This window comes from Homo sapiens, chromosome 3, assembly GCF_000001405.40.
Source record: "Homo sapiens chromosome 3, GRCh38.p14 Primary Assembly".
NCBI lineage: Eukaryota > Metazoa > Chordata > Mammalia > Primates > Hominidae > Homo > Homo sapiens.
Window position 1 is genome coordinate 130,968,167 of NC_000003.12, and position 23,195 is coordinate 130,991,361.

Sequence of the window (23,195 nt, forward strand, 5' to 3'; positions counted from 1 at the left end):
TAGTTTCCTTGGCAGAAAAGCACATTTCTGTATCATTTGGTCTCCTTACAACTAAAACAGCATAGTACTCAAAACATGAATCCGTTATCAAGTATTTCCTGTGTTATGCTTATAAAGATATTAGTTTCTTTGAGGGATAAAGAATATGAAACTATCTTTTTATGGGCAGAGACCTCACATTTTAGGTAGGGAATTTATATTGACATTCTTGAGACAAAAGGCAGTCCAAGACAGCAGACACTGAAATCTTAAACACTGAGTCACATATAAGATAAGAACAATGCAAATTCAGAGCTGGGATATGAGGGCTTTGAAGGATAGGAAGGGTTTAGATGAGATAAGCTAGGGAATGAACTAAAGTAGAAGTAGAGAGGAATAAAAGAGCATAGAGTTGGTTGTGGCTAATGAGTTGGCCAAACTGGATGAAATGAAACGTATTTGCACGACCAGGAGGATTTTTATAGACGCTGTATGTGGTGGGTTTCTGGAGAACCTTTAAGGCCAAGAAGAGCCTGAACATGTTTCAGTAGAAAGTAGAAAGCAATACATGGTAGAATTTTGAGTAGTTTAAACATTTTTGATATTTGGAAGATATTTTTTGATATTTTTGATATTTAGATATTTGATATTGATGCAAACGCTATTAGGAGGGAAAACAACAACATGACTGGTAGTATTCAGGATATAAAGTGGCAGAGGGTAAGGGACTAGGATGATAACAGGTGAGCCATTTGAGTCCCTAAGAAGTGAGAGATTTAATCTAAAACTTCTATTGATCATAAAAATACATGCTCAGAATTGGTTGGGTACTTTTATTTATTTATATCCTGCTTCCTTTCAGAATTTGAGTGGGTAGAGGGATTAATACAGTGTGTATGGGAGGTTTAGTCAGCGTACAATCCAGAAAACCTGCCTTAGACTATATCTACATACCTGGGCTTTCATGTTGAAAATGTATGCTGATGTGTAGGGAAGTACAGTATATATAGATGGAGCATTTACTATTTCACTATTAACTGAAAAATAATCCAGCCAACCTAGTTACAAGTGGTGACCCTTGTTCTTTGTTAAAGGAAAAAATAATCACATATAGGTGAGAATTAACTTTCTCTTTGTGCCATATAGATGGGTCTTGATGGACTTCAACAAGACTACATCAGAAAAGCTGAATACCCTTTTAGCTCTGAGCAAAAGTGGATGGCTGTTAAGTGTGTACACCGAACACAGCAGGTATCCATCTGTTTAAAGAATACTTATTTCCTGTTTAGCTTAGATGACTATTTTTTCATTTACTGTCCACCTTTGGGTTTAGTCATTGTACATAATAAAGACTTGTTGCTTTAAAGTACATGTAATTAATAGTACACTCATCTCTTAATTGTTTGTGTTCTCTTTGATAGTCTTTCCTTATAGAATCCATGCATAGATATATTCATGGAGTTGCTGCTGTGTGAGCAAACAGCTTAAATGAGTTGTAGCCTAGTCTCAGTCTCCTGAAGCTTGTGACATCAGATTTTTTCAGAATTTTTTCTCTTCTTCATGACAGTTCCTTATAAGGTCTTTGCAGACTGTGTTTCAATCTGTGTTCTTTCACTGAAGGAATGTCTTATCTTTAGAACAAATGAAGCCACCTTACTTTTTGAAAAGTAGTTTGCAAATGTATGTCATTCATGTTGATTACTCCAGCTTACAAGCTGACAAAATGACATACCGATATTTTAAGCCGCCACCTTGTTCCTGGGTGCTTGAGAAATTTTTCCAGTTAGTGTAATAAGAGTTCTGAATTATCTACAGTGTATAATTATATCACTCATAGTTGCTATTACCAGCTTGATGATGAAACTTAACTTTAAAAAATATTGAAGCTTGGGCTGGATGCGGTAGCTCACGCCTGTAATCCCAGCACTTTGGGAGGCCAAGGCGGGTGGATCACCTGAGGTCAGGAGTTTGAGACCAGCCTGACCAATATGGTGAAACCCTGTCTGTACTAAAAATACAAAAATTAGCCAGGTGTGGTGGTGTGTGCCTGTAGTCCCAGCTACTCAGGAGGCTGAGACAGGGGAATTGTTTGAACCTGGGAGGCGGAGGTTGCAGTGAGGCTGAGACAGGGGAATTGTTTGAACCTGGGAGGCGGAGGTTGCAGTGAGCCGAGATCACCCCAGTGCACTCCAGCCTGGGCAACAGCCTGTCTAAAAAAAAAATTACACACACACACACACACACACACACACACACACACACCCTTAAACTTTCCTTCACTCTTTTGCCTAGGCTGAGTGCAGTGGCGTGACCTCGGGTCACTGCAACCTCAACCTCCCCTGGCACAAGTGATCTTCCCACTTCAGCTTCCCAAGTAGCTGGGACTGTAAGCACGTGCCACCATACCTGGCTAATTTTGCTAATTTTTTGTAGAGATGGGATCTCATTGTGTTTCCTAGGCTGGTCTTGAACCCCTGGACTCACATGATCCTCCACCTTGGCCTCCCAGAGTGCTGGGATTGCAGGCGTGAGCCACCATGCCTGGACTTATTTGTTATTTTTATAGTTCCTTTGACAGGAATGACTAGTTGGTTATATGTTTTTACCTATGAGCAAACACATGATTTTTGCATGTGATACCTATGATTACGTCTCTATAGAAAACAGGAATGAAGGGATCTCCCTTCATTCATATAAGTGGAAACATACAGTTTTTAAAAGAAAGGCCAGGTTGGTTAACACTGAACTTTGAATTGAAGTCTTCCAGGAACTATGTTCATGAGGGCCAAAAAAAAGATTTCCGTCTATTCTTTAAAGGAACTTTTACAAGCTTAGGTGAAAGAAGACAATTGGAAATAAAACTATGAAAATACAATACCTTTCACTTTAAACGTTTTAATGTAAAGCTTTCAGAAATTGCATTAAACTTAGGCGATTTTCAGCTGATGTCCCTTAACCACATAGTTATATGGCAAGCATATGCATATGACTTTTTTTGATAGGTCTATTTCATTACATTTTGTAAACCATCACACGGTACCTCAAGATAGTGTGGCTCATGTAATGTTTAATAATTTTACTTTTCAGGAACTTTTAATGTAATCTACCAAAGTTTTACATTGGAAGATTAAATCTTCTTAGTTGTGGGAGTGGGGGACAGAAAGTGGCAGGATATGTTTGGAAACATTTGATTATTCTTCACACTTGCTGACCTGAAGAGTTCCTCTTGCAAGTGAAAACCAACCAGTGAAATGAACAAACAAAACCCAACCCACAGATGTGACTCAGGATCTAGAAGAAGTCATCCTGACACAGATAGGGAAACTTAACATTTTAAAAGTAACTTCAGTGGCTCAGATAGTTTGCTTTTAAAGGACTTTCACTTGAACATGACAATATATATTTATCTCTACTATCTCCCTGGAACCCACCAAAATTACTAACAAGGAATAAAAGATATAAACTCAGAAAGTATAGGGAAGATTCAAAGGTGCCAGGTACCTTTGAAGGCAGGGAGTAAGGCATAAGGCTAAAAATAGTAGAGAAATTTGAAATTCTGAATAAGGAACCAATAGAACTCCCCCAAGTACCTTTGCTGCTTCTTTAGGCCAGACGGTTAGCCTTCCTTTACCCCTGTGGAACACCAGAAATCTGGGGATAAGAGTAGAGGGTAGGATTAAGCCTTAAGACTGAAAACAGAATGATTAAGAAGATGTCATTGTCCTGAAGGATAAAGCCCTAGTTCTTAACACCATTTGTCTCTTGGAATACATGAAGGCTGGCATCTCCCTACTGTCATTCCCTAAGTAAGAAGATTCAAGAGTTTTAGAAAAGCTGCCTGGTCTCGTAAGGCAGTGGTCCCCAGCCTTTTTGGCACCAGGGACTGGTTTCCTGGAACTCTTCCACAGGCAGGGGATGGTTTTGCGATGACACTGGTCCACCTCAGATCCTCAGGCATTAGATTCTCTTAAGGAGTGCACAACCTAGATCCCTTGCATGTGTAGTTCACGATAGGGTTCCTGCTTCTATGAGAATCTCAGGCCCTGGCTGACCTGACAGGAGATTGAGCTCAGGCAGTAGTGCTCTCTTGCCTGCAGCCCACTTCTTCTTTGTGGCTGGGTTCCTAACATACCATGGACTGTACTGGTCCACTGCCTGGGAGTTGGGGAGCCCTGTCATAAGGGGCACCTTTGAGCTAAGCTCTTTGTTCATTGGAAGCACTTACCTACTCCTGGACTTCATCTCATCACCCTACAGCAAGGCTTACCAGTTGATCCTTAGCTCTGCCAGTGCTCATGGAGCTTCTAGTCTTTTAGTTTCTTCACTCTTTTTTTTTTTTTTATATACTTTAAGTTTTAGGGTACATGTGCACAATGTGCCGGTTAGTTACATATGTATACATGTGCCATGCTGGTGTGCTGCACCCATTAACTCATCATTTAGCATTAGGTATATCTCCTAATGCTATCCCTCCCCCTCCCCCCACCCCACAACAGTCCCCAGAGTGTTCTTCCTGTGTCCATGTGTTCTCATTGTTCACTTCTCATCTATGAGTGAGAACATGCGGTGTTTGGTTTTTTGTCCTTGCGATAGTTTACTGAGAATGATGATTTCCAGTTTCATCCATGTCCCTACAAAGGACATGAACTCATCATTTTTTATGGCTGCATAGTATTCCATGGTGTATTAAATACAAGTGAACAGGGAGGGATTACTAGATACTTGGAGAAAATCTTTAGTATGAAAGCCAAAGACCAAACCAACAGAGAAAGGGATCTTAGAGAAAGGTAGTGGCAGATGCTGAAGAAAATTTCCAAAAACCATAAAAAAGACAAAATAACTTTCAATAAAATGTTTATTAAATAAAGTCAAGAAATGTATCAAAGTAGAACAGAAAGTCAAAGACATGTACAGTATAAAAGGTAAAAATCAAAACAAATACAGAAGATCCAGTAATTACCCCATAGTGGTAATAGGAAGGGTAATAGGAATAGGTAATAGGAAGAAAGAACAGAAAATGAGAAGATTTTATCAACTAATGCTGGAAAATTTTCCAGAATGAAAAGACTTTAGCATCTAGAATAAAGTGGCCCACCAACTGCTCAGCACAATATGTATGTTAAAGCAGAGTGGGGTGAGGGATAAACACAAGACCCATAATTAAGAAATTTGAGGACACTTGGAGAGGGAGAATTCGAAGAGCTTCTAGAGAGCTTTAAGCAAAGGGGAGATCATATAAAAGGGCTTAGGAACTAAAGTATGGTAGTCTGCCACTTAGCCCAGCGGGATACATTCCAAGACTGCTAGTGGATGCCTGAAACCATGAATAATATTGAACCTTATATATACCGTGTTTTTTTCGATCCGGTAACATAGATGGCTACTAAGTGATTAATGGGCAGGGAGCATATACGGTGTGGATATGCTGGACAAAGGGATGATGTCCTTGGCAGGACAGAGTGGGATTTCATCACCATACTCAGAATGTTGTATAATTGGAAACTTATGAATTATTTATTTTTGGAATTTTCTATTTAATATTTTTGGACTGCTGCTAAGTAACAGAAACTGCAGGAAATTAAACCCTGGATAAGGGGACACTACTTTAATTTCTTTATACTTTTCAATGAAAACATTGACACTGGAGGCTGGAAGATAATAGAGCAAAGCCTTCAAAATGAGAGGAAATTTATCCCTAGCTAAACTTACAAATGTGAGGATAGAAGAAAAATGTGTCCCACACCACACACCCTTTCTTAGATATTGGTGGATAAAAGAAAAAAAAGAAAAGGGAGACTTAAAAGACTTAAAATTCAGTGAGGATAGAGGTAGAGGGTTGTTCCTAGATACCAGTGGTACAGCAGGCCTAGAAATCAGCCAATTAGAAATGGAAAGAAGACTGAAGGAGGGTGGTCTCCAGTAATAATATAGAGGTAATAGCTTATCTGCTTCTTTGTTGTTGTGAAAAAATACCATGAGAAGGGTTTTATATTACATTGAAGAGTTTAGGAAGAATGAATGATAGGTATACAGAAAACAAATTAAAGAGGTGGTTATTAACTTTATAAAAGACAAAACTTGAACAGGAAAAGAAGTATCCTATTTGAGCTATCAATCAGGATAGGCCATGAAAACAACATCATGCTCTCCTGCTGCCTCCCTGTCCCCAAATATCTGCTCATTGTAGTTACTTGGGAATGCAGGCAGATGGAAGCTCCATTTTAATGTGAGCACACACTGTCACAGCAGGGGTAGAAGAATAGGAAATTGTGCACTGGCACCTACATTTCCATTTGGAAGTGACACAAGTACTCATGTTTATTGGCCAAAGCAAGTCATACCTGACCGTTGTGGAGTGAGGACGGCAATAGGGAAATACATTCCTGCCTCCCAGGAGAACTGGGATATTTGTGAACTGCTATAGTCATTACCACACTTGGCTTAGCAGCAAAGAGTCTTGTTGTAAACAAAATACTGGCAGATTTTGCTTTAGCTATATCATAAAGATGGGGAGGGGGGGAATAGATAGTGGAAATGGGGAAATTAACATCTGTCACAATAGACAGTGTATAAAATTGATAACTGATGGAGTAGCAGTATAAACATGTTAAAAACATGAGGGTAAATATCAGAGAAAACAGCTAAGAGAGTTAAAATTATTTTGCTTCCATGGAGTAGGACTAGTGGTGAGAAGCGTTGAACAGGAAACTGCAGTATTTCATTATAAGCTTTTGAAGATTATTTACCATGACAAAAAATAAAAGAAAAAGTGCGATAATACCCATAAATACAGTGTGATTGGGAGAATTAAATGGTGTTTTAGGTAGATAGATATAGACGTATATAGTAGCTAATAGAGAACTTGAACCATTGTGAGCTGTTATTTCTCTTCCATTTCCTGTTATGTTGCAGTGAGCCTCTTTCCACATTTCAGAGTGCCAAATTTGGGGCTTAGTATAGCATTGCCTTTTATGTGTGGGATGGTGGGATAGATGTTTTCTATAGAAGATACAGAAAGCTCCCCTATAGGAATATTTAATCTTCAGAGTTCAGGTGGCAGTCAAAACCTTAGGCTTGAGTAACTTCTCTGGGAATTATGAGAAATGAATGCCACTTAATTTTGGACTCCAATGGCAGGTAAGTACAAGTTGAAATTAAACTTGTGTTTGGTACATTTTCTTCTTAGGACAGACCAGAGATTTGTTTTATGAAAGGTGCTTACGAACAAGTAATTAAGTACTGTACTACATACCAGAGCAAAGGGCAGACCTTGACACTTACTCAGCAGCAGAGAGATGTGTACCAACAAGAGAAGGCACGCATGGGCTCAGCGGGACTCAGAGGTAAGGCTATTTCAGCATAGTCCCCTGGGGTGGAAAGGTAGAGCCTTCTTTTAATTGCAGATGAATTCATGCTTCACATTTGAGCTGTCCAACTCACTTCCAGGATTTGTAGAACCCTTGCCAGTATTGAGGTGTTAAGTTTTAGTTGGTTAATTGGCCCTCAAAAGATGGAAATTTGAGAATGTAGCAAAATATGAATCACTGGTTCTTTTAGATCTCCAGAGGTCTCTGAGTAGCTGATAGAAATTTTATTTTAAACAAGTTTATCTTATGAGAAGGGAAATGGATCGAGGTAAAATGGTGTTACTCTCTTTTTATCACTTTGTTTTAAAGACAAAAATACTTTTCTAAAAATTGAGTCTGAAGCCTCTAATATATCCTTTAAGGTGATTGCTAACTTGATCTGTTACTGTTCACCAGGGAGGTAAAGAAGTCCCCAGATTCTGCTTACTTATATGCTGCTGACTGAGCAGTGATGGGGAGAGGGTCTGCTGGACACACACACATTAGGCCACCTCTCCTAGGGATGTCATGTGTAAGACTCGGGGGTTGGTGGTTGGTGTCCTAACCTGATTCTTACCTTCTGGATAGTCATCTGGCTTCTGCAGAATATATGTAGTTATGTAGTCTCTCACAGCAGTTGGAAGAGTTGGCTTCCTTAATTTTATTATTTTAATGAAATAGGAGTCTAAGCACTACAATTTCTGGGAGGAAGAAAAACAAGTTATGTGAAAAATGTTTTTATTTGTTGTTCACTTAAGCAAAGGCTTTTTTTGAGTTTTAAACATTTTGATGGATTTATAGGGCTTCTGTTCTTAAAATAAACTAAGTTTGGAAAGGTACTCTTACCAGCAGAGAACATTGCTCCCAGCCTGCTGCCATTGCCCTTCTCTCTGAACCTTCTGTGCTGCTGAACCAAGATCACTCCTCATACCCCTGCCCCCAGAGCCTGGTGCATCTCATCTGGGATATGGGCTGTATTGTGACCATCTTAACACTTCATCCCCTGTCTCCAAGGAAATGGGAGGCAGAGACTCATGGCTGAGAAGTTATTTTGCAAATGGATATTTTGGATGGAAAAAAATTTAAAGGAAAACAACTTTTCCTTCCCCCTTTCCCCTTTTAATGTAAGAGGCTTTGATGACAGGTTCTAGAGTTTCTGGGGTTTCATCCCAAAGGCCTGAATCTGGAACATGCCCTGGATCCCCCCACCTCAGTCCTCAAGCTTTCTGGACCCCTGAAGCCAAGGCAGATTCTTTCTCCCAGCGTCATTTCTGGGGCAGGAGGAATCTCTTTTCTGGTTTACCTGGGCCAGACCTAAGAATAGCAGGATCTCTGAAACCACAGGGTTTTGATGTGTTTTTATCAAGCCAAATGTACAATTGCCAACTGACACTCTGGATAATTGAGCACAGGGGGTGCCCTCGTACATTGTACCGTCACTCCCTTCTGAACAGTTGGCAGACCAAACTGTTTGGAAGCTCAGATACTCTGGCTCAGGGTAACACTTTTGTTCCCCTTACACTCCTCAACTTTCCACCTCAGCTAGGGAAAGAGAATGACAGTTAAGGCTTGACCCAGGATTATAATCGTTAGAGCAAGTGGGAGTTTCAGAGACTTAAGGGGCACTGCAGGGAGGCCTTGCTGCCACAAAATTAGGGTTTGGATTGATAAAGCCTGTGTCGGAAGGGGCAGTGGCAGCTCCACTGAGACAATCCTGGGAAGACTGTGGTGCAGAGGGCCTGTTACTCCCCTGATTCACCTGATTCTGGGGCTTTGACCCTTTCTTTTTAAATTTACTTTTGCTAAGTTGCACTTATTTATTTTTTAAAAAGACCGTTGGTGAACAAAATGTGAACCCATTTCTTTCCTCTTTTGAACTTCTGGGATGTCATCACTTCCAGTTTGTTGGCTTTGTTTCCAGCTATTAATAAAGCATTAAAAGAGTGGAGAAAAAAAGGTAGGGAAGTGGGCAGAGTCTTGCTACTCTTAGCAGCACATAGCAAGAGGTTTTAAAGTGGCATGGATTTAGAGGACTTAAAGAGGTCTTGAAGGTCTAATATATGCTCCCTCTTTTTGTTAGTTTCTGGAACAAAGTTTTCCTACCTCATTATATTGACTAATTCTTTTCATATGAAGGATTGTGGAGGTTTGTGTATGTGTGTTTTGTACTGTAACATTATGAAGTAGACCAGAGTTGGTAGAGGGGAAAGTTTTTGTTGCACAGAGTTTTGGGAAACATTCTGCTCATTTGTCTCTTGCTTCATGTCTTTTCTTCTTTATCTACCCTTGTGCTCCACTTCCATCCTCCCCCTGAGATTACCGTAATGAAGAACAGAAAGATTTTAAACCTCAGTTGATATGTACTTACATTACATCTTATGAAACAAGTTTCTTAAAATACTGTGGTTCTTAATTTTGATATTAGAGTATATTTTGTTTTATGTCAGGGGCTCTCCACATGAAAAAAGTTTACCTATCCTTGACTCAGAGAGTAGCAGCAGATTTTCACTGGTGCTAAAGAAGCAAATAAATACAGGATACTAACCTCTAGACTAGTGCCACCCCTCCATTAGGAGTGCGCAGAGCTGATCTTTCCGTCTTAGGATTTGCTGACATATATTTTTGTCACTGTCCCCTTCTGTTACCATCAGCCTCTATCCTAACACCAGGAACTGTGAAGTGGCTCATTCTCTCAAGGGTGAAAGCCTTTGGAGCCCACATCTACATAAATAATTAGGTATATGACTCTTACTTTGGAAAAATAGAATTACTTGCTTTTAACCTTGATTTTTTTTGAGCATATGTAATCTTTCATACCTTCTGCTTGACGAAGAATGGATAGTTTCTTTGGTCTCTCTGGGGCTTTTCAGTCTCCTCTTGACTTATTTATGTTTAGTTTGTATGTGCATGTTACAAGTTGTTCAGTCTAATATCTCAGATGCAGGCACATCCCTTTGGTTAATAAAAGTAGTTTCCGGAGTTCCATAATTCTGAGAGCAAGCTAAATGATATTTGGGAAATGAAAAGTACTTTGTACTATATCTTACATGCCCAAGGATGATGACAGGGAAATAAGTAGAAATAATAATATGATGGCGTTATTTACATACTCTTAGAGAACCAACGTTACAAATAAGAAATGTCTGTTCATGTTATGGAAGGAGTAAAAGAATCCAAACTATTGTTGGTATTAATGGTTTTACAACCACTTTCCAAATTAGCTTTACCTTCCAGGAGTTTTCATGTACAAAGTTGTTACAGGCTGTGTATAATTAACTAATACAGCCTTCTCTTCAGAGTGTTTAATTTTTCTGGAGATCTTGGAAATGGAAAGATGAAGATCCGTTAGAAGCCACCTTCAAAGGTGTTTGCCTGTTTAAAATTGACTTTAAAGCCTAACAAACCCATAGTTTCTCTAAATAATTAATTCTATTTTTTAAAGAGGTAGAGTTCCTGTTGAAAGTAGCTGCATGTGATTACTATGTGAAAATATTGTTCATTTTCTGTCTCTTGCCTACTCTGCCCTTCAGTTCTTTAGTTTGATTCTTTTTAATTAAAACAGCTTAAAGGGACCCCTTATCCAGAACCATTAAACTATAATGTTTTGGTCTGTAATCATTTTGATTTTACAAATGACATTATAGTCTTAAGTGATTTATTTAAGAAGTGTTACTGTCTCCAATTTCTATCAACTAAATTCTGATGTTTTCATGACTCACTTTTTTTTGTTGTTGTTTGGATTTTATTATTTCCTAAGTTCTTGCTTTGGCTTCTGGTCCTGAACTGGGACAGCTGACATTTCTTGGCTTGGTGGGAATCATTGATCCACCTAGAACTGGTGTGAAAGAAGCTGTTACAACACTCATTGCCTCAGGAGTATCAATAAAAATGATTACTGGAGATTCACAGGAGACTGCAGTTGCAATCGGTATAACTAGACTGCTTTCTTTTGTTTTCGATAGTTTTTCTTAAAATACTGTGGTGCATAATTTTGTGAACTATTAGTTATGAATATGTTTATGTAATATTGAGATTATGCAATTGAAATCGACTCATGGTTTTGCTCATGGTCTATATAAAGTTGGCAAAACTGATTATAGTTTAAAAAGTAATAACTTTGACATGCATAACTAAATCATGAAATCACATGCATTTTATTCACAGAAGGGTAATTATTTTTAATCTCATGATCAACTGTGATGACAGAGTAAAAGCACTAGATCATGATTGTCAAAGGAAACATGAAACTTAGTTTTTCCTTTCAACTTAAGTATAATTTTCAAAGCAGACTTGTGCATAATTTGGCAGAAAATAGCTTGTTATATGTATTTGTTTTTCATCATGTATACCTATATTTGAATGCTATTTAAGATTACCGTAAGAAGTAGAATAAGAGCGAAGAAGAGAATGAAAGTTAATTTCCCAGAGCCTCTAAACTGTAATTCATACTGATAAATTTAACAGTTGGCTAAACTCCATTAATTCTTATTTGGAGAGGGGCTAGTCCAGGAGTTTCAAACTATATATTGTCTAAGAACAGGTCACTAGGAACATTATATTATTGGAAGAATAACTTTTCGATGTTTATTTTCATTTATGTATAACTACATGATTACCACAGATCCACCACCATTTTGTCTGGCTTCGGACACTGTACTTAAAATGCACTCTGATCTTCGTTACATTTCAGCTGCTGAGCAGAACCTGATTGGCCTAGTTTCGATTCTTAGGTATGCTAGCTTAAATAGTCAAAATTCTTTTTTTTTTTTTTTCCTGTAGAGACAGGGTCTTGCTATATTGCCCAGGCTGGTCTTGAACTCCTGGGCTCAAGTGATCCTGTAGCCCCAAAGTGCAGAGATTACAAGCCTGAGCCACCGTGGCCAGCCTTGAAAATTCTTTATTCTTAAATTTAAACAAAAATGAAAGTCAAACATAAAACTCCAGACTTAATACTGATTCAGATAGGTTTGTATTACTGGTAGGTAACAAAAGAGAACAGATAACAAATCATACTAAATGAGCATTACGTTGACTAGCCTGTCAAGCAAAAACAATTTGGTTTATTACATTTTCTCTCTCATTTGCTTTAGCCAGTCGTCTGGGATTGTATTCCAAAACTTCCCAGTCAGTCTCAGGAGAAGAAATAGATGCAATGGATGTTCAGCAGCTTTCACAAATAGTACCAAAGGTAGGCCTAAACTAAAGCCTTTTGGACTGAAAGGCCTTATTCTAAGTGTTACCATTTCTACTACTATCTTAATGAAACTGTTTAATTGTGAACATCAGGGATTTAAATAACCACCAGATTTGTTGGTTCAAATCCTGAAATGAAGTCTTATCATTGAATTAGTCTTATCATTGATTATTTATGATATGATGTTTATGAATATCAGTGCAAAATTATTAATTTTAGCAAGAACCAGATTTCCTCTGAGAAAAGTACTGTGGAAATTAATAGTGCTTGTATTTATGAATTAGAGGATGGAGAGAGATCATTGATTTATACTTCTTACTCTTTTGTTCAATTTTAATTTTAGCATGAGTATGTGATTTTTTTTAGGTACAATTTACATATAGTAAAATTCGCCCATTTTAGTGTATAGTTCTGAACATTGAGTGATGCATGCAGTCTTGTGACCACCACCACAATCAAGATATAGAACAGTTCCATCATCCCCCCAGATTATCTTAGGCCTTTTTGTGGTACCTTCTCCCCCTACTTCCAGGACTTGGCAGCCACTAATTCTTTTTTTGTCTCTGCCACTTTACCTTTTCTAGAATGCACTAAAAATTGAATCATACCATATGAATGAGGCTTTTGAATCTGCTTCTTTCACTTAGCATAATGCATTTGACATTTATCTATGTTGGTTGTGTGTATTAGTAGTTTGTTGTTGTTTTTTAAAGTAATATTCTATTATAGGTGTACCTTACCTATTCACCAGTTAAAGGACATTTAGATTGTTTCCACTTTTTGATGATTATGAATAAAGATGCTGTCAACATTTGTGTACAGGCTTTTGCAGTTTGTACACAAATTTATTTTGCATGAAAATACATTTTCATATCTCTTGGGTAAATATCTGTGAGTAATTGCTGGGTCATACACTTAATGTATATTTAATTTCATAAGAAACTGCCAAGTTGTTTTACGAGATGGCTTTATTATTTTGCAACCCCACCAGCAGTGCCTGGAACTTCTAATAGTCCTGCATCCTCACTAGCACAAGGGATTGTCATTGCCCTCCTCCCCCATTCTGATAAGTGTACAATGGTATCTTACTGTGATTTTAATGTGCGTTTCCCTCACAACTAGTGATGTTGAATATCTTTTCATATGCTTATTTGCCATCCATATATCTTCTTTAGTGAAGTGTCTGCCCTGCCTATTTTTTAAAAATTATGTTTTCTAATTATTGAATTTTGAGCATTCTTTATATAATGTGGATACAAGTCCTTTATTAGATATTTGTTTGAAAATGTTTCTTTCCAGTTGGTAGTGTGTCTTTTCCAAGAGAGAAGCTTTTAATTTTGATTAGGTCTAGTTTTTCAATTTCTTCTTTTATGGACTATGCTTTTGATATCTCAGAACTCCCTGCCTAACCCAGGTTCACAAAGATTTTCTTCGTGTTTTCTTATAGAAGTTTTATAGTTTTGGGTTTTATACTTAGGTCTGTGATCCATTTTGAGTGTATTTTTTTGTATATGTTGTAATGGGTTACGGTTTATTTTCTTTGCATATAGATGTTCAGTTATTCCAGCAACATTTGTTGAAAAGACTGTCCTTTTTCCATTGAAATACTTTTTAACTTTTGATTATAATGCTTTTCTAACAAATTATTTGTAGGAAGGAGGTATCTCCTGCCCCACAGCACAGTAGCTTCTTTAAAGCCAGGTTCCCTGATATGAGATTAACTTACTTTATTATCTTGGGCTGCCTTGTAAGGGGCCTATCAAAGCCTGGTTTGTGGATACCCAGGTCCCATAGGAAGTGCCCCATAAGAGGTGGGCAGCAGTCTTCCCAGTTGCTGACAGTTCAGATTTCTTGGTTTTATTGTTAGTTAACTTATATATGCACATCTATTTGTATGTCCTTCAAAATAAGCACTTATCTGGAATTTATTTTATTAGCTATTTTGTAGCCATCCATTGTTACTAATAAAATGTGCTACCTCCTCCTTCATTTATTTTACACTTACAACTTCAAGTTATATATTCAGAATGTGGAATTTTCTTAAATTGTTTCTGCATCTTAAGGTATGTCTATACTTTTTTGATTAGAAAATTTATTCATTAGTGGTATATGTTCAACATAGAAAAATCAAATAATATAGAAAAGTAAGAGCTACAATAGAAGTTGTCTGTAATCTAACCCACACTCAGGTTATGCATCCACAGAGTATCCATAATAAGTTAACCTATTATGACTTAAAAAAATGTGTTTAACAAAACCTGGTTGCTACTTTATACTGTTATAATTCTGAACATTCATTTTACATAACTTTGGCATTTCTGAAATCAATTATTATTAGAAAACATGTTTTTAATTGCTGTACAATATTTTGAGTATACCATGTGTATGTGTGTATAAATGCATAGCATGCATATATATATATAGAGAGAGAGAGTTACATAACCATTTTCCTGTTGAAATTTGAGCTTCTATTCTTTTTACTACTGTAAATGTTCCTTTAAGGATAATGACAATAGCAACCATTTATTATCTGCCAATGCATGTATTACCTACATTATCTAATTTACTTCTTATAGCTACCTTATGAAAGATAGGCAGCACCGCTTTAAAAATTCTAATAATTAATAAGCCTTATTTCTTAGCAGTGTTAGATTTATAGAATAATTGAGCAGATAACACAGAGTTCTACATTCCTACTCCATCTCTACCCTCTACTCTTACACAGTTCCTCTTCATATTAATAGACTGCATTACTGTAGTATATTTATTGCAATTAATGAGCTAATATTGATACATTCTTATTTCATGGTTTACATTAAGGTTTACTTTTTGTGTTGTACCTTTCTAGGGGTTTTGACAAATGCATAATGACATATATCCACCATTACAATTTCTTTTGAGACGGAGTCTCGCTCCACCATTAGAATTTCATACAGGGTAGTTTCATTGCCCTGAAAATCCCTGTGTTTGACGTTTTCATCCCTCCCCACTCCGCTTGAATCCTTGACAACCACTGATCTTTTTACTGTCTCTGTAGTTTTGCCTTTTCCAGAATGTGTATGGTTGGAATAATATCATATGTAGCCTTTGCAGACTGGATTTTTTTCACTAAGCAACATGCATTTAAGGTTTCACCATGTCTTTTCCTGGCTTAGTAGCTCATTTCTTGTGAGCACTAAATAATATTCCATTGTATGAAAGTGCCACAGTTTATCACTTCACCTTTTGAAGGGCATCTTAGTTGCTTCCAGGTTTGGCAATTATATATAAAGCTGCTCTAAACATTCATATACAGGTTTTTGCGTAGACATAAGTTTTCAATTCATTTGGGTAAATACTAAGCACAGTTGCTGAATCAGATCATATGGTAAGAGTATATTTAGTTTTTTAAGAAACAGGCAATTCCATTTTTATAGATGAGGAAATTGAGGCCCACAGTACTTGGGAGACTTGGCTGATGTCTCAGAGCTAGTAAGTGGTGGTGTTGGCATTGGAACTGGAATCCAGGTCTGTATGCTCCAGAGTTCATCTGTTGTTTGCTGTTTCTTTGAATATTATTGAACCTAAGATGTACCCAACTCTGATTATTATTATTATTGTTATTATTTTTTACCACTGCCCTTATCCATGTACATCTGATTATTTTTATACACTAAATTCCTGCATGTGAAATGATTGGACTAATGTTCAACACATTTGTAAGGCCGTTAACATATATTGCTGAATTGTCCTCTGAAAAAGTTTCTGTTTATATTTCCATAAACTACACTTCATACAGTAGCATTAAGTCCCTAGACCTCCAGCCCCACTTCCCTCATCCTCTAGCAAGTGGTTAGATTTTGGATGTTGTTACTAATAGAAATACACTATTTTGCTTATCCATATTTTTTATTTCTCAACTTCTAATCACTCATGAATGCTGTTTTCAGAGAGAGCCAATCATAGTCCTGAAAGATGTAATCTCTAATGTTGAAATCCTGAAAGATTGAAATCCATAAAGTCTTAAAATCCTGAAAAACCACAGTCCCCAAAGATCAAAATCCTAAAAATCTAATTCTGGAAAAAATAATTTTAAAATAAAATAATTTACATTTTTAAGAAGGAATTTATTTGAGAAACATAAAAACATGAAAATGCTTCATTGGTCACTTTATACAAAATAAGCAATAATAAATAACCTACATAGTTTTGCAAGCATTTGCAAGCATAAACACTCAGGCATATTATATGACAGAAAGATATAACATAGGACTGTTATGAGCATATGAACTGTATTTATAAAGAAATAGGTCATAAGGGAAATGCATAAACACCTATCACTGTGGTTGCTAATTGTGTGCACCCCACTTTATAACTGTGGGTCATTTTTATCTTTCACAAATGCAGATGTATGAAAAGGACATCTGTTCATTTATTGAGGAAGTTTCAACATTTTTACATACATGTACAGTGCTTACATACAAAGTCAACATTGTGATCATGCACTTTCGTGAAGTCAGATTTGCAAAACATGCATAAAACAAATTAGAATCCTTTAAGTCTCTATAACTTACGCTTCCAGTGTTGGAAATGATGCAAAGGTGAAATACATAGCATAGCAAATTGTAAAAAATAATACTCACAATTTAAAATAGCGGAAAAGGAAACTAAAAAAAGAAAAATAATGGCCGGGTGTGGTGGCTCACAGCTGTAATCCCAGCACTTTGGGAGGCTGAGGTGGATGGATTGCCTGAGGTCAGGATTTCGAGACCTGCCTGGCCAACATGGCGAAACCCCATCTCTACTAAAAATACAAAAATTAGCTGGGTGTGGTGGTGGGCGCCTGTAATCCCAGCTACTCTAAGGAGGCTGAGGCAGGAGAATCGCTTGAACCCAGGAGGCAGAGGCTGCAGTGAGCTGAGATTGCACCAGTGCACTCCAGCCTGGGCTACAGAGCAAGACTCCTTCCCCCACCCCACCTCCCCCGCCCCACCAAAAAAAAAAACCAAATTAACAACAACAGCAAAAAACCTAAAAAGAAAATATGACATGGAAAAGCATATTACAGAGATAAATGATGGACAGTTGCATGGAGATAGTCCATAAAAGCTGGCTGACTTTCACGATCATTAACTATATTTTGAAGTCTTGCAGCATGATGAGTAGTTGCTTTTTTTTCTTTAAGAACATGGCTGTCAGCGTATGTTCATATTCATTTTCTATGTGGCACTGCTGTTTTTGAAATTCTATGATTCGATGTACACTAACATGAACATTCTCTATTAAATTTTCCTATCCTGTGATTGTGATTTTCAGGAGTTTAGACTTTAGGGATTTTGATCTTTAGGGATTTCAGCATTTGGGATTATGGCATTTGGTATTGCATCTTTCAAGATTATGATCCCAGTATGTTGGGATCATAGATGACTGTTGGGATCACTGCCACCCAGAGAGCTGGGGCAGTGTGGATGTTTGCTTTGTTTTTGGGGTGGGGAAGGTGTTTATATATTTGAATAGGGCTTTTTTTTTTTTTTTGGTGCACGTCCTATCCTGGTAATCTCTTCCTGAAGTTTATTTCTGAATAAATCCCATATTGGATTTTTTTAGTGGTATTGGGACAGAGTATTAGTAAATGTATGTGAAATCTGCAGTTACTTAAACATTTTACCATTAGACTTCTGCATAACTTCTCAGAGATGCTAAAGGTGGTGAAACTTTCATTTTATTTGCTTTCTTCAGTTTGTCCTCTGGCTCTCTTATAAAAATTAAGGTGAACTCTGGAAACCAACCAAAGATAGTTAGGGAAGAAAGAAACTAATTACAAATTACATCATCAGCCTGGACAAATCACATTGTTGGGGTTTCCCAAGTAGAGTGTGTGTGCGTTAATTATAGCAGATATCCTGATGCTATTCCAAGGAGACTAAAACAAAATAAGACCTAAGCCCTGTCAGAAGCTCGTTGAATTGCTTAAATTCATCCTACTTTAAAGTGGAATTCTATAAATACTAGCCCTGCCTCCCAGGTATTTTGTATCTTTTGAATACCTAAGTCTTTTCTCCAAATATTATTAGAGAATTTTTTGTCTCATTAGGTTAGCAGGACGGCCCCCACCCTCATCTTGTCTTTTTCCCTACTTCATTTTGTGTTCATGTGACCCTTTTATAGCCAATATGTTTATTTGGCCTTCAGCTTTTTGATTAGTTTAGTTTAGTTTAGTTTAGTTTAGTTTAGTTTAGTTTAGTTTAGTTTAGTTTAGTTAGTTTAGTTTAGTTTAGTTTAGTTTAGTTTTAGAGATGGTGTTTTGCTTTATTGCCCAGACTGGAGTGCAGTGGCATGATCATAGCTCACTGCTGCCCTGAATTCCTGGGCCCAAGCTATCCTCTGCCTTAGCCTCCCAAGTAGCTGGAACTGTAGGTGCTCACCACTATGCTTGGGTAATTAAAAAAAAAAAAAAAGAAAGAAAATCCATTTCTGAATGGATTTTTAAACTTTTTTGAAAGAAAGGATTTGCAGAAATGGAGTCTCACCACGTGTTGCCCAGACTGGTCCTGAACTTCTGGGCTCAAGTGATCCTCCCACCTCAACCTCCCAAAGTGCTGGGGTTATAGGCATGAGCCACTGCACGTAGCCTCGTCTTCTGCTTTCCTTTGTTTGTTTTTTGAGACAGAGTCTCCTGCTTTGTTGACTAGGCTAGAGTGTAGTGGTGTGACCATAGCCCACTGCAACCTCAAACTCCTGGGTTCAGGTGATCTCCCCAGTTCAGGTGATCCCTCATGACTCAGTCTCCTGAGTAGCTGGGACTACTGGCATATGCCACCATGCCTAGGTAATTTTGTTATTTTTTATAGAGATGGGGTCTTGCTGTGTTGCCCAGGTTGGTCTCAAACTCCTGGGCTCAAGTGATCCTCCTACCTTGGCCTCTCAAAGTGTTGGGATTACAGGCATAAGCCACTGCACTCAGACAGTTTGCTGCTTTTGCTTCACATCAGTTTGAATAACTTTTATTATTGTTACAAATAAAACAGACCTTTTGTTCTAAATCATTAGCTTGTTGACATTTTCCCCCATGTACTAGAATCATATTAATTGTGCCCCTCATTAAAATATTTTTCAGCCATCCTTTTTCATAATTCTTTTGAACACATTTCATTCTCCTTTTGGAATATGAAGTGTTGCTATGTACTTTGACCTAGAGCCAGTTAAAAAGTAGTACTGAATCTCAGTTTTGCTTGTTATTAAGTCATCTGGGAATTCTCAGTGTTTTCCATTTATGACTTTTTCTAGTGTGTCCTACATTTTCCATTGATCCATTGATAGAAGTGGTCATCCTCTTTCATTCTTCTTTTTCTGATTTTTACAGCATTACTTGCATTTATATTTCTACTGAATCTATTCACCAAGTCCCCATATTATTATCACAATTCATATAGTCTAATTTTTAATAGGTTGTAAACCTTTATTTCAATCACTTGTTTTTTCTTCAGTGCATTAGTTTTCTTTAATCTGTCCTAGAAGATTTGAGGATCTTCGGTAGGTTATTCTAATGCAAGACACATCTTTTCCATTAATCTCTCCTTTAATATTTTCCTTTCTTTTTTTTTGTAACTTCCTTTCCCTAGTACATCTTGTCTATTAATTTCCATCAAAAGAACTGTGAGTGCTGACCACAAATGTGACACTGAAAAGGAGGACTCATAAGAAGAGAAAAATACCCCTTGTAGATTGCTTCTGAAAATATGTGGCCTTGTTCTACTCTCTTTGATGATTTTTATCTCTTCCTCCAAATCTAAAATCAGGCCAAAATACCCAACTGTCACAACTGGATCAAGCCAGCTGCACCTTTTACCACCAAGTACAAGGCTCACTGCAACCCACGGATACCCATCTAACTTCGGGACAGCCATGATCCCCAATAGGCAGGGATGACACCCACGACCAGCAAGAAGCAGCTACAGAAAATTGATCCTCAGTGCCTCTGCCTCCCATAAAGATTTATGGGGATCATGTCTCTCGGAGAAATGAGGCAGAATAGGGAATTAGGGTAATCAAGGGTTAAGGCATAAGTAAAAGAACAGTAGATGCAGCCAGTTCTAGGCAAGATTAGGCAGCATTTAGGCCACATCCTTAATCCTGTGATAACAAGACAGTAGTCTCCACTTCAGCCTCTGATTGGCTGGGGACCAAGTCTCCACTTCAGTCTCTGATTGGTCACAGGCTAATCCTTCATAGGGTGTAACCAATTGGAGGCCTCTAAATGGCATCTGGTAGTGTTACCAAATTCTTTTAACTTAATAAAAACCCTAGGCCGGGCACGGTGGCTCACACCTGTAATTCCAGCACTTTGGGAGGCCGAGGCTGGTGGATCATAAGGTCAGGAGTTCAAGACCAGCCTGGCCAAGATGGTAAAACCCCGTCTCTACTAAAAATACAAAAAGTAGCTGGGTATGGTGGCGGGCACCTGTAATCCCAGCTACTTGGGAGGCTGAGGCAGAGAATTGCTTGAACCAAGGAGGCAGAGGTAGTGAGCCGAGATTGCGCCACTGCACTCCAGCCTGGGCTACAAGAGCGAAAATCCATCTCAAAAAAAAAAAAAACAAAAAAACAAACACACAAAAAAACGGCTGGGTGTGGTGGCTCATGCCTGTAATGCACTTTGGGAGGCCAAGGTGGGCAGATCATCTGAGGTTGGGAGTTCGGGACCAGCCTGACCAACATGGAGAAAACCTGTCTCTACTAAAAAATACAAAATTAGCTGGGCGTGGTGGTGCATGCCTGTAATCCCAGCTACTTGGGAGGCTGAGGCAGGAGAATCGCTTGAACCCGGGAGGAGGAGGTTGTGGTGAGCCGAGATTGCGCCATTGCACTCCAGCCTGGGCAACAAGAGCGAAACTCCATCTCAAAAAAAAAAAAAAAAAACACAAACCCTAAAGAACATTGTAGTTGGGACTCATGAGCCGCTTGCTCGAGCCCGTTCTACTCTATGGAGTGTACTTTTGCTTCAATAAGTTTGTACTTCTGTTGCTTCGTTCTTTTGTTCCTTTGTGTGTTTTGTTCAATTCTTTGTTCAACACATGAAGTACATGGACAACTCACAGTCACAACCTTTCATTCGCTAACTTATTTTGCAGCTTTTGCCAAACACTTGTTATATTTCAGTGCTGTGTGCTACATGATTAATTTCTGCAGTAATTAGAGTTTTCACTTGGAAGGTTACCAGTATGTTTTGGATATATGTGTAACTCAGTCTTTTTTTTAAAGGCACACTGAAGAGTTTCTGAATGGATTTTTGAACTTTTTTGAAAGAAAGGATATTTCCCAAATATAAGTTATGTGATTCATGATATTTGGATTGCCTAGGGATAATCAGTAGTGTGATATTACAGTGCAGCTGAGTCTTTTGTTTAAGAAAATAATACTTTTTTTATTTAGACCTTTATTAAAGGAGAGAACCAGGGAACAGTCTTTATGGTAGTACTGAGATTTATTCAGTTGTTCATTCATTTTATTTGTCTTTATAGAGCGCTGTTGGTATAGGACAAAAATCTCTGGCTTCATGAGTCTTAGAAGATAAATGAATATAATGTTAAATAAGTGCTTAAGAGCAACCCCCCCCCCCACAAAAAAAGGCAAAATTTGAATGATAAGAGAGGGAGATTGAAATTTTTATATAGTAAGACTAGGGAGGGCCTCACTGAGAAGGTACTATTTGACAGAAGAGGGACCCATGTTATATCCGAGGAAAGAGCATTCCAGACAAGGGCAGAGGCTGGAAGTGAGTGTGCCTGGCATGTGTGAGGAACAACGAGGAGGCCAATGTAGTTCAGTCAGGAAAAGATTAATGATAGGAGTGCAGTGAGGTGTGAACTTCATGAGGGACCCGGTAGATAATAAAGGACTTAGGCATTTGTTTTGAGAGAGATGTGAAATCATTTGAGGGTTTTGAGAAGAGACACGCGATCTCACTTCTGTTTTAACAGTGCCACTCTGGCTACTGTGTTGCAAATTGACTGCAGGAAACTAGGGCAGAAATAAGAAAATCAGTTTGGAGGTATTGGCCCAGAGTGTGGGCAATGGTTTTGGAGTAAGGTGGTTGAATTCTGGATATATTTGTGAGTGGAGTCAACAAGATTCGCTGTCAAACTGCTTGTTGGCACATAAGAAAAATGGAGGAATTAAGGTTGGCTCCCAAAATTTGGAGCCTCAGCAACTGCACATATGTACTTTTCACTAACAGAGGATAGGAAGGAGCAAGATTGAGACATCTAAGAGGAAATGTGAAGTAGGGATGGGAATTAGTTTTGCTGATCTGGATTTCAGAAGAAATGTCTGGGCTTGAGATAAAAATGCATTCAAAAAAATGCATGTAAGTAAAATCCAAAGCCATGTGCCTGGGTATGCTCACCTGAGGCGTAGGGAATTCTGAGACCTCTTATAGAGAAAGGAACTGAGCCCTGGGGTGCTCCAACATCTAGGCATCAAGAGGGATCAGGAGAAGTCTGTACAAGAGGAACAGCCAAAAAGGTAGGAGGAAGACCAGTATCGGTGGTAGTGGAAGCCAAGGGAAGATGGTGTTTCAGGAGGGACTAATCAGCTACGTTAGGGTGCGGCTGAGAGATTAAGTCAGATGAGAAATGACTGTAGGCATTAGCAATGTGGTGGTGGTGGTGGTGGTGCAGGTCTTTGAAAGTCATGAA

General features: G+C 38.1%; 1 protein-coding gene across 23 annotated transcripts in view; it reads left to right on the forward strand.

The window, feature by feature from the left end:
* ATP2C1 (ATPase secretory pathway Ca2+ transporting 1) overlaps positions 1 to 23,195 on the forward strand; it is a 166,118-nt gene that overhangs the window by 117,572 nt on the left and 25,351 nt on the right. For 18 of the 23 annotated variants that reach the window (NM_001378511.1, NM_001199180.2, NM_001199182.2 and 15 more), the window contains 4 exons: positions 1,126 to 1,230; positions 7,166 to 7,322; positions 11,083 to 11,253; positions 12,416 to 12,513. In NM_001378511.1, coding sequence (NP_001365440.1) covers positions 1,126 to 1,230; positions 7,166 to 7,322; positions 11,083 to 11,253; positions 12,416 to 12,513 — 531 coding nt within the window. The remainder of the gene's footprint in view (positions 1 to 1,125; positions 1,231 to 7,165; positions 7,323 to 11,082; positions 11,254 to 12,415; positions 12,514 to 23,195) is intronic. The other 5 variants (XM_047447960.1, XM_047447961.1, XM_047447962.1 and 2 more) reach the window with 2 other exon arrangements.